The sequence below is a fragment of the Homo sapiens genome, chromosome 4 (genome assembly GCF_000001405.40).
Source record: "Homo sapiens chromosome 4, GRCh38.p14 Primary Assembly".
Classification (NCBI taxonomy): domain Eukaryota; kingdom Metazoa; phylum Chordata; class Mammalia; order Primates; family Hominidae; genus Homo; species Homo sapiens.
The window spans coordinates 84,663,469-84,676,113 of NC_000004.12; the positions used below are offsets into that span (position 1 = coordinate 84,663,469).

A 12,645-nucleotide genomic window follows, 5' to 3' on the forward strand; every position below is an offset into this window, starting at 1 on the left:
TAGTAATTAATCTTTAAGAAACTTAAACTATTAAAAAACTTAAAACTATTATCTTAAGAAGCAATGATCTGAAAAAGCAATTATAATATTCCAGCTCGAAAAACTGAAAGCCTTTCCTTTAAGATCTGGAACAAGACAAGGATGCCCACTTTCACTGTTACTCAACATAGTGTCCTAGCTGGAGCAATCAGAAAAGAGAAAGAAAAGGCATCTAAATTGGAACAGAAGTAGTCAAATTATTCTTGTTTGCAGATGGTATGCTCTTATATTTGGGAAAACCTAAAGACTCCACTAAAAAAAATTAGAACTGATAAATTCAGTAAAATTGCAGGATACAAAATCAACATGCAAAAATCAGGAGCATTTCTATATGCCAACAGTGAACAATATGAAAAAGAAATCAAGAAAGTAATCCCATTTACAATAGCTACAAATAAAGTAATATACTTAGGAATAAACTTAACCAAAGAAATGAAAGATCTCTACAATGAAAACTGCAAAAGACTGATGAAAGAAACGAAAGAGGACACACAAAAAATGGAAATATATTCCATGTTCATGGAATGGAAGAATCAGTGTTGTTAAAATGTCCATACTACCCAAAGCAATCTACAGATTCAATGCAATTCCTATCAAAATATCAATGACATTCTTCACAGAAATAGAAAAAATAATCCTAAAATTTATGTGGAATCACCAAATACCCAGAATAGCCAAAGCCACTGTGAACAAAAGGAACAAAACTGGAGGAATCACATTACCTGACTTCAAATTGCAACTACAGAGCTATAGTAATCCAAACAGCCTTGGACTGGCATAAAAACAGACACATAGCTCAATGGAACAGAATAAAGAATCCAGAAATAAAACCATACCTCTACAGTGAACTCATTTTTGACAAAACTGCCGAGAACATATATTGAGGAAAGGACAGTCCATTCAATAAATCCTGTTGTGGAAACTAGATATCCATATGTGGAAGAATGAAACTAGACTCCCTATCTGCCACTATATACAAACATCAAATCAAAATGGATTAAAGATTTAATTCTAAGACCTAAAACTATTGAGAGGTGACAGCGTGCTGGCAGTCCTCACAGCCCTCGCTCGCTCTCCGCGCCTCCTCTGCCTGGGCTCCCACTTTGGCGGCACTTGAGGAGCCCTTCAGCCCACCACTGCACTGTGGGAGCCCCTTTCTGGGCTGGCCAAGGCCAGAGCCGGCTCCCTCAGCTTGCAGGGAGGTGTGGAGGGAGAGGCGCGAGAGGGAACCGGGGCTGCACGCCGCGCTTGCAGGCCAGCTGGAGTTCCAGGTGGGCGTGGGCTTGGCGGCCCTGCCGGCCTGGGCAATGAGGGGCTTAGCACCCGGGCCAGCGGCTGCGGAGGGTGTACTGGGTCCCCCAGCAGTGCCGGCCCACGGGCACTGCGCTCCATTTCTCACCCAGTCTTAGCTGCCTTACCATGGGGCAGGGCTCGGGACCTGCAGCCCACTATGCCTGAGCCTCCCACCCCCTCCGTGGGCTCCCGTGCAGCCCGAGCCTCCCCGATGAGCGCCACCCCCTGCTCCACAGCGCCCAGTCCCATCGACCATCCAAGGGCTGAGGAGTGCAGGAGTGCGGGTGCAAGGCTAGGGACTGGCAGGCAGCTCCACCTGCAGCCCCCGTGCAGGATCCACTGGGTGAAGCCAGCTGGGCTCCTGAGTCTGGTGGGGATGTGGAGAACCTTTAGGTCTAGCTCAGGGATTGTCTTTACCTCTAGCTCACCAATCAGCACTCTGCATCTAGCTCAAGGTTTGTAAACACACCAATCAGCACCCTGTGTCTAGCTCAGGGTTTGTGAATGCACCAATCGACACTCTGTATCTAGCTACTCTGGTGGGGCCTTGGAGAACCTTTATGTCTAGCTCAGGGATAGTAAATACAACAATCGGCACTCTGTATCTAACTCAAGGTTTGCAAATACACCAATCAGCACCCTGTGTCTAGCTCAGGGTTTGTGAATGCACCAATTGACACTCTGCATCTAGCTACTCTGGTGGGGCCTTGGAGAACCTTTGTGTCCACACTCTGTATCTAGCTAATCTGGTGGGGACTGGAGAACCTTTGTGTCTAGCTCAGGGATTGTAAACGCACCAATCAGCGCCCTGTCAAAACAGACCACTCGGCTGTACCAATCAGCAGGATGTGGGTGGGGCCAGATAAGAAAATAAAAGAAGGCTGCCGGAGCCAACAGTGGCAACTCGCTCGGGTCCCCTTCCACACTGTGGAAGCTTTGTTCTTTTGCTCTTTGCAATAAATCTTGCTACTGCTCACTCTTTGGGTCCACACTGCCTTTATGAGCTGTAACACTCACCGCAAACGTCTGCAGCTTCACTCCTGAAGCCAGTGAGACCACGAGCCCACTGGGAGGAACAAACAACTCCAGACACACCGCCTTAAGAGCTGTAACACTCACCGCGAAGGTCTGCAGCTTCACTCCTGAGCCAGCGAGACCACGAACCCACCAGAAGGAAGAAACTCCGAACACATCTGAACACCAGAAGAAACAAACTCCGGACACGCCACCTTTAAGAACTGTAACACTCACTGCGAGGCTCCACGGCTTCATTCTTGAAGTCAGTGAGACCAAGAACCTACCAATTCCGGACACACCATGAAGCTGCTAGAAGAAACCATTGGGGAAACTCTCCAGGACTTTGGTCAGGGCAAGATTTTTTGGCTAAGACCTCAAAAGCACAGATAACCAAAGTAAAAATGGACAAATGGGATCACATCAAGTTAAAAAGCTTCTGTACAGCAAAGGAAATGATCAACAAGTGAAGAGGCGACCCACAGAATAGAAGAAAATATTTGCAAACCACTCATCTGACAAGGGTGGTTAATAATCAGAATATATAAGAAGCTCAAACAACTCAATAGGAAAAAAAATCTAATAATCCTATTAAAAAATGGGCAAATGATGTGAATAGGCATTTCTCAAAAGAAGACATACAAATATCAAACAGGTATATGAAAAAATGCTCAACATCATTTATCATCAGAGAAATGCAAACCAAAACCAAAAGGAGATATCCTCTCACCCCAGTTAGAATGGCTGTTATCCAAGAGACAGGCAAGAACAAATGCTGGTGAGGACAGAGAAAGGGGAACCCTCCTACACCGTTGGTGGGAATGTAAATTAGTACAACCACTATGGAGAACAGTATGGAGGTTCCTAAAAAAACTAAAAATAGAACTGCCATATGACCCAGCAATCCCACTACTAGGAATATACACAAAAGAGAGGAAGTCAGTATATCAAAGAGATATCTGTCCTCCCATGTTTACTGCAGTACTATTTGCAATAGCCAAGATTTCAACTCAACCTGAGTCTATCAACAGATGAATGGATATAGAAAATGTGGCACTTATACACAATGGAATACTATTCAGCCATAAAAATGAGATACTATCATTTGCAACAATATCGATGGAATTAGAGGACATTATGTTAAGTGAAATAAGCCAGGCAAATTAAAAAAAAAGACATTTTGCATGTGCTCACTCATTTGTGGGAGCTAAAGATTAAAACAAGCGAACTCATGGAGACAGAGTAGAATGATGGTTACGAGAGGCTACAAAGAGTAGCAGGGAGGAGGGTGGAGAGTGGAGATGTTTAGTGGGTATAAAAATATAGTCACATAGAATGAATAAGATCTAGTATTTGATAGCACAACAGGGTGACTCCAGTCAACAATTTACTGCATATTTTAAAATATCCAAAAGGGTGGAATTGGAGTGTTCCTAACAGAAAGGGACAATAAATGCTTGAGGTGGTAAACACTCTATTTACTTTGATGTGACTATTATACATTGTATGCCTGTATTGAAATATAACATGTACCTCATAAATATATACACTTATGAGCTCATAAAAATTAAAAATATTCACCCCCTTTTCAACCAATACATGTGTGAGGTTGGATTTTCTTCATGCTTCAACCAAAACAAAGTATATTCCTGATGTGACTATAGTAGGGGTGCGATAGACATACTTTTCACAAAATGATAGCTGGAGAACAAAGTTCAGGAAACGAGCCAAAACCATGCAGATTTGTCTTTTTCCATAAATCCAGTCAAAACAAAGTATCACAACAGATGGAATGTAGAAGCAAACTTGAGAATCCACCTGTCTTCTATTGAGCCAGACATTACAGAGATTTGCAAAAAGTTGTAAATTTGCCAAAAAAACCTGTTTTTTTTGTTTGGAAAAGATTTTTTTTTTTTTTTGGAGACGGAGTCTCACTCTGTCGCCCAGGCTGGAGTGCAGCGGTGTGATCTCGGCTCACTGCAAGCTCCACCTCCCAGGTTCAAGTCATTCTCCTGCCTCGGCCTCCCAGGTAGCTGGGATTACAGGCGCATGCCACCATGCCTGGCTAATTTTTTAGTAGAGACGGGGTTTCGCCACGTTGGCCAGACTCGTCTTGAACTCCTGACCTCAGGTGATTCGCCCGCCTCTGCCTCCCAAAGTGCTGGGATTACAGGTGTGAGCCACTGCACTCGGCTGTAAAAGACTTTTTATAGAAATATGTAATTATGTTAATACATCATGGTCTTATCATTGTTATTTTAAATGAGTTGACATATATATTTTAAATCTCAGTTTTAATTTCTAATACAATGACTACTGATAGATATAAACCAAATAAGCAAAAGCTGTTCGGTTCCTTGAAAATTTTTAAGGATCAAAGAGTTCTCAGACCAAAAAGTTTAAAGAAGCACTTAGACCATTCCCATCCTCACAGGCAACTACTGATGTAGGAAAACCCTATGGAGAGAGTGAGCGCTAAAACAAGAGGCTTCCTAAATTCCCAAGCTGGTTAGAACTGAAGCCTCAGTGGTAATTCCAAATCAGGGATCTCCAAAACACCATGCTATTGTGGTAGCTTGGCTTGGTGCTGTCTCTAGCAAAAGTAAAAGAAAAAAAAAGAGCTTTATAATAGGTGGGAGGAAATGAGAATATTCATAAAGCAAAGAGACTAACCAAGTGCTGGGCCAAGTCCATCAAATGGTCAAAAGTGAGGCGTGGAGGGAAAATTCTGTTGAAGATGAGAAGCAAATGGCAGACAAGGGACTCACTGAAAATCATTTGCATGTTTGTTCTTTTAAACTCTGAATTTCTGCATCTGAGAATTCTGCAGTGTCCATCCTTGACTGCAACCCGTCACCAGAACTATAAGTAATAAAGCATTAATAACATGGGAGCTGCTCTAAGGTTTCTTTTACCATTTTTTTTTTTAATTTTTTAAAGAAATTGCTGTTGTTTTAGTTCTTGGCATTCCTTCATCTTCTGCCACTCAAGTAGAGTTGCAGTAAGGTAAAATTTGTAATAAGCAAAACATACTCAAATTTGGGGCTCTGCTGTTCAAGCTTAAAATGAATTTAATATCTTTAGAAAGAGGGAAAGTGAAATCATCAAAACAGCCTAAATAAACTTAAAAACTCTTCTTTACAGAAAGGCTATTTTAAACCCAAACAAGCTCATAACAAGAACAATGGATTGTAAGTTCTAACACTCTCAGACTGAAGGCTGAACTGGAAAGACCAGCTGCTAACAGCGGCTGCTGTAGTTCCAGGTGAGGGGCAGGACACTGGAATATTCCTTATGTGACTATAGTATGGGTGCAAGAGACACACACATATATATATATACACACACTGTTGCTTACTTTTTGGCTGGAGAATAAAGCTCAGGAAAAAAGAGCCAAAACCATGCAGACATGTCTTTTTCCACAGGTCCAGTCAAATTTGAGGGTCACGTCTCCCAGAAGGGGCTTGCTTCTCCTTACTGCCATCCACATACACTCATTAGCCCTGGGAATCCAGCACAATTGAGAAGCTCAGACTGCAGAAAGCCTGATTTTTAAGGATGAGTCAAACTAGAACTGGAACTGGAACCTTAACAGCCAATACTTCTGCAATCTTATGCAGGTGCTTCTGAAAGTATTTACAACTAGAAAAGAACTACATAAAGTTAGGGAGTTATTAGATCTCTGTTTTTCCTTCCCTGAATAACTGACTTAACAACTTTTCTTTTTCTTTCTTTTGGTGGTAAATAGGTATTTATTTGAAATGAAAAAAAAATTACTTAAGTACCTGGACTATTGCATTTAATCATGTATTGTAATTGTGTTACTCTACCTTTTTGCATCAGAGACAAATATACAATGAACATTCAGATATCACAGACTGCACACTAGATAGTAATTCTTCAGGTCTTTTACATAACCACCAAGAAACAGATATTGGTTTCTGCAATATAGTATAAAAGTCCACAATCAATCCAGTCTTAGCCAGTATCTTCAATTTACTTCTGTTGCTGTACAAATAATTGGCCATTACTAGGGCTTACAAGTTAATAACAGGACAAAAAATATACATTGCACTGACACAAAAAGTCAGCTGTGTTAAGAGTCATGCAACAAGTAACCAAACTTGCTGAAATTAAAAATACTTTCTAAAAACAGTTTTAACGGCATAAATATTTTATACACAGTTCATTTACCAAAACAAAATGTATTTAAATGATACAAAGCAAAAATAAGTTTCTACCAACTTTATACATAAGAAAGTGCAAAATAACTTATCTAGAGTGTTTTGCTATTATCCAGACGGATGGCTGCTATGGGCAGCTATTCTCTTCTTCAAAAGCATGACATTAGAGTTGCACACTACATAGAAATGTTAGAATACATGGATGAACAAATGAACAGGTGGATGGATGAATGAACAAACTACAAAGATCAGGCAGGAGCCCTATGAGGTACTCTCAGAAAAAGAATGCAGACCATACTAAGGTAGATGTACATGTTGACAATAGATGTTGGTAAATAAATTTACATGGAACACAGAAAGATATCCAGAGAAATAATTAGTTTATGTATGTGAGTGTACTTGTATGTGTGAGTGATTCTGTTGATTTCTGCATTAGAGGCAAAAAGAAAAGAAACCCGATTGAACAAAACAGTTGCCCACAGCACCAGCTGCCAGAGGAAATACTACCATGAGGGTTTTGGTTTCCACCTTCTAGTTATGGAAGTTCTGTTAGAAAGTTAGTAATGGAAGTTGTGTCGGAAAGTTTAAAAGTGTTCATCCCATATAGTTTCCTATTACAAAGAGGAATAACCTTTAAGTAACTACACACACACATTCATATATTCAAGTCTTTAAAGAACACCTCTGCCACTGGGTATGGGGTAAACATGATTCATGGACAAAAGGAGGACGCTTCTTTTAAAAAGTGTAGAATAACACTGCTACAAATCATCTAGAGGGCCAGACAGGGGCAAGGCCCACAGTTACATAATAGCACAATTTCTGCAACTGTTGAACATCAGCATTATTTATTAGAATTGAAGATGGTGATGGGGGAGGGAGAGTGTGGGGGGAGTAAGACACAGAAAGGAAAACAGAACACAACTTTTCTTTAAATTAAAGTATTAATGCCGATAATCCTTTTATTAACAAGTATATTTGAACTTTTAGAAATGGAAGTGTTTTAATCAATTTTGATATGTAATCATAAATAGACTGTAGGCTCAAACCCAGGTAAATAAAGATTTAAATTTAGTAAGCGTAAGGCACTAAAGCAGCCTTTCTATTTTCTCTTGGAGACCTAGTTATCATATCAGGAAGAACAAATTTGTTCTTAAGCTGGTTTCAGCCCATCAGGTACAAGATCACCATTGTACCAAATGCCTATTTTTGAATGCATGTGCATATATGTGCATTTTAGTGCATAAGTGTGCCTCTCACCAGGGCCTAAAGATGGAAAATTGGAAAAGCCAAAGCCGCTGTCCTTTGCATGATGCCTCTGTGAGGGTGTGAAGGCCTTTCCTTTCGCACCTGTGAAGGTGTGAAGGCCTATCTTGGGCCATTAATGATTCTATATTTTTCAAATCACAGGGCTTTTAGAATTGTTCATAATGTTATCACTAAGTTTCTGAAAATGTTAAAATCTAGATTAATTGTTTCATTTTTAATATATATTATATATATATATATATGTACATAACACACATTTAAAAAAATCCCACCACCAAGCCTTTTCTCTGTAAACTAATCTCTTAGCCCCTTCCAGCTTTAATCCCCCTGGATTTGTGTGTTCTGTATCCAACTAGTAGAACAAATTAAATAACTAAATATTAAAATACTGTAATTATATTCATAGCAAAAACAAAAAAATAGACATTGATACAGTATAAATCTCACTGTTTTCAGGTAGATGACATTAAATGGTAAAGGTTAATTTTAAGCAGTTCTGACATGATTCAGTTTTACAACAAAGTTTATATGTTAATTCTGTACACTTCTTTCTTTCCTTTTTTTACCCCTTGTTTGAAAATAAGCTATAGTAGAACATTAGTGTCACCAAAGACACATACTTATTATGTTCTATGCAAGATAAGCTAATTTTGGGTTACATGCAAATATATTTCCATTAGTTGAGACAGGGCTGTTTCCTGCACTACACTGGTCATCTGACCACCTTTCTGCAATGCTAAGAAGGTATTCTTTGACCAAACAGCAGTCCACATACAAGTTTAAAAGGGGCCCTGTTTATGTAGGAACAACACTGAGGTGGTGCGTAGCCAGGTACAAGACGCCCAAATATTTCCAGTTTATCTTACGGCTGGACTCCTATTCTCCCACACTGTTTCCTAAAGAAGGTCCACATTATTTTGGTTACTAGCCTAGTTTAAGTGGAGATACTGTGGGCAACTTGAAAGAAATGACATCAGGCACACAGGCTGAGCTTGAAAGGAAAAAAAGACCACAGATAATGTCTTTGGGGATTTAAAAAAACATATTTATAATTAATTGGTAAGTGAGGGATGTCAGACAAACCATAAGTAGTTCATTGAGTTAGTGGTTTAGTTTGAAGTTTCATGTTACAGGCAGTTAAGTCCTTATTTAGAAAAAAGGCCTTTTATATCTATTTACAATATACATAGTTACTTGCAAAGAAGTCAGATTTACAACCATTTTCTAAAAGCCTTTTTTGTTGTTGGTTTTTCCAAATAAGGATGAGTAGCTCTATAAAAATGAGATGCAAGAAAAGAGAGTTAATAAGTGAGGATTTTTCTCTTGGAGACAGCTACTGTCATCAGGGAGAACTGGAGGTCGAAAGTGTTGCTCCTAGGAACCACCTCATATTCTTCTTGTGCTGTTCACCTGAATCGCGTCTGCCCCATTCCTGTACTCTACACCCGTTTTATTCAATGATCCCTTTGAATTTTAACACTTCAAACACGTGGTATGAAGAGATGTGTAAACGGAGACTGTTTTCAATGCCTTCCAAGCTGGGACAGGAGAATCGGGAAGGGGTCTACAGACCATGGTCTCCACTCAGCTTGTTGAATCTTCAACAATTTCGAGGCCCATCTTCTGAACCTCTCTCATGCTGTAAGTTATAATAACAGTTCTGACAAACACGCACCGGGGATGAGATTTTCAAGCGTTTGATTTCAGATTGAAAGCGACTGCACCTAAAGGAAAGGAAAAGTCAATTAATTATAGGTCTTCTCCATGCTTGATCATGGGCACCGGAAACATTAATAATCGAATGGAAAGCTTGCAGTAAAATGCCAAAGGCCATACTGGTTTGTGTTGTGTGGCTGAACAAGGACTAAAAGGAAAGCTGTATTATTTGTTTCAGTCTATGAAGAAAAGCAGTATTAAACCAGGGAAGCTATTTCTTTGACTGACAAGAATTAAAAAAACGAAAACAAAAAAACAGAGTTAAGATTTTCCTATACAATGAGGCCAAGGTGTCTGAACAGTGATGTAAGGCCATTCTACCTGTGTAGACTAATTCTCATGGCCTATAAGCTTGGGAGGTATGTCAATGTCTTTACCTGGAGCTTGACATATTTCTCTTGGAAATCAGAAAAACTCACTAGCGGAAATTAGAAGACTCACTAATGAGTATCTATTTTCAAGAGAATTACTAATGACTCATTAGTGAGTCTTCTAATTTCCAAAAGAAATATGAGTTTGATCACTATCAAGTTCCATTGTGCTTTTAAACATTTTGATTGATCCACTCTTTAATCATTTCTTAAACAGTTAGACTGGCTTTCCTTTTCCAGTCCCAACACCCTCATTTCCTATTTATCTTGCTAGAACTGTTTGAAGGAGACTATTCTTAAGAGATGTTCAAATTCTTTAAGAAGTATTCAGAGTTCCTATTCCTGGAATAAAGCCAGGTGTGACTCAGGATGTGGTATTAAATCACTTTAGGCTTGGATTTTCAGAAGATTGAAATGGAAATGAAAAAAAAAATTTTTTTTTGGTAGGGATGGGGTCTCATTACATTGTCCAGGCTGTCCTCAAACTCCTGGCCTCAAGTGATCTTCCTGCCTTGACCTCCCAAAGTGCTGAGACTACAGACGTGAGCCACTGTGCCTGGCCTTGAAATGGAGATTTATGTTTAGTCCATTAATCTACCAGTAAAAATGTCCAGAGAGTAAATTAAGTACTATAACCTTATGGGTTTAAAGGACTGTCACTGGACCTCTCAGATCCCTCAAGAGTGTCAACAGCTCTCAGCCATAGAGACCACAGGCTGTGTGTTCTGGAAAGCACTTCCTTCTGTGCCTGCTTCATCAGAACTTATCACTGTTTGGTCAGTTTCCAATAAAGCTTCCATCCAACATTTAATAGCAATGGATAATTTAAAGAATTACCTATATTTAAACAATATTTTGAAAATTAAACACTACAAAGAACAGATGTGTGCCAGCATACATACGGGAGTGCTAGTACAAATCACTAGATTAATATGATGGGTGTGGAGGCTGAAAACTGTAATCCCAGCACTTTAGGAGGCTGAGGCGGGGGTACTGCTTGAGCCCGCGGCTGTGAGACCAGCCTGGGGAACATAGTGAGACTCTATCTCTACAAAAAATACAAAAATTAGCCAGGTGTGGTGGCTCTTGCCTATAGTCTCAGCTACTTGGAAGGCTGAGGTGGGAGGACTGCTTGAGCCTGGGAGATCAAAGCTGCACTGAGCTGTGATCGTGCCACTGTACTCCAGCCTGGGTGATAGAGGAAGACCCCATCTCAAGAAATATATATATATAGGCTGGGTGCGGAGGCTCATGACTGTAATCCCAGCACTTTGGGAGGCCAAGGTGGGCAGACCACAAGGTCAGGAGTTCGAGACGAGCCTGGCCAATATGGTGAAACCCCGTCTCTACTAAGAATACAAAAATTAGCCAGGCGTGGTGGTGCACGCCTGTAGTCCCAGCTACTCAGGAAGCTGAGGTAGAAGAATCGCTTGAACCCAGGAGGCGGAGGCTGCAGTGAGCCGAGATCACGCCACTGCACTCCAGCCTGGGTGACAGAGTGAGACTCCGTCTCAAAAAAAATAAAAATAAAAATAAAAGATATATATATATATGTCTAGCGGCTCTGTGCTTTGAAAGGCCTGCTCTATAAAACCCATTATGGGTTTTTAAATTTATTATCTATTTTTTTGAGATGGAGTCTTGCTCTGTTGCTCAGGCTGGATGGAGTGCAGTGGCGTGATCTCGGGTCACTGCAACCTCTGTCTGCTGGGTTCAAGTGATTCTCTCGCCTCAACCTCCTGAGTAGCTCACCACCACACCTGGCTAATTTTTGTATTTTTAGTACAGACAGGGTTTTGCCATGTTGGCCAGGCTGGTCTCGAACTCCTGACCTCAGGTGATCAGCCCACCTCAGCCTCCCAAAGTGCTGGCATTACAGGCATGAGCCACTGTGCCCGGTCCCATTATAGGTTTTATAGAGCAGGCCTTTCAAAGCACAGAGCCACTAGACAGAATCCTCTGCCAGCCTCACAGAAATTCCCACAGGAAATGGCTGGCTGCAACATTTTGGGTCCCTCATCTTGAACCAGACTGCCCAGCAGAAAAGGTTTAAGGAATCAAATGATGGAACACCTGTTTTGCCAGACTCTGAACTTGGTGCTTTACAACACTCATATATGTGATCTCATTTAATTCTCTCAATAGCTCTAAGAGGACTGGTCTTCTTACCCACATTTACAGATAAAGAAACCAAAGCTCAGAGAGGCTCGGTAACTTGCTGGCATTATGGCAACAGAAAGTAGCACAGTGAGCATTTGGTCAGTGTAAACCCAAAGACTATGCCCATACCAGTAAGCCAATGCTGCCTATAAAACCTCAGGAATGGACTCATAATTACACAAGTTGAGAATAATATGCTTTCTATGAAAGCATCTCTGGAGTAAGGCAATATAAGCCTTAAAGTGTACTGTCCATGGAATCCTTTCTGTTGTCTGGCAGAAAAAGTAACGACTGTGGATGTGTATCTGGGACCCAGGTGTAGGACAGAGATATCAACCAAATCTATAGCCATGGGACCACTGACCTTTCATATGGGGGAAAAATAGATCCTCGCCTCATGTTATACCCCAAAATAAATTACAAATGAATTAAAGACCTAAATGTGAAAAATAAAACTTTGAAACCTTTAAAAGAAAATAAACAAGATTATCTTTGTGATCCTAGGACAGAGAAAGAATTCTTAAGGCACAAAAAAGCAAAAATCATAGAGTAATACATGTGACTACAACCAGTTTAAAAACTTGTAGATGACAGAAAAA

The 12,645-nt window shown here is 40.4% G+C and overlaps 1 protein-coding gene across 27 annotated transcripts in view; it reads right to left on the reverse strand.

Moving 5' to 3' along the window:
- Nucleotides 6,129–12,645, reverse strand: part of WDFY3 (WD repeat and FYVE domain containing 3) — a 297,094-nt gene continuing 290,577 nt past the window's right edge. For all 27 annotated transcript variants that reach the window (XM_011531759.3, XM_047449858.1, XM_011531763.4 and 24 more), the window contains one exon: nucleotides 6,129–9,523. In XM_011531759.3, the coding sequence (XP_011530061.1) occupies nucleotides 9,400–9,523 (124 nt within the window). In that variant the 3' untranslated portion in view covers nucleotides 6,129–9,399. The remainder of the gene's footprint in view (nucleotides 9,524–12,645) is intronic.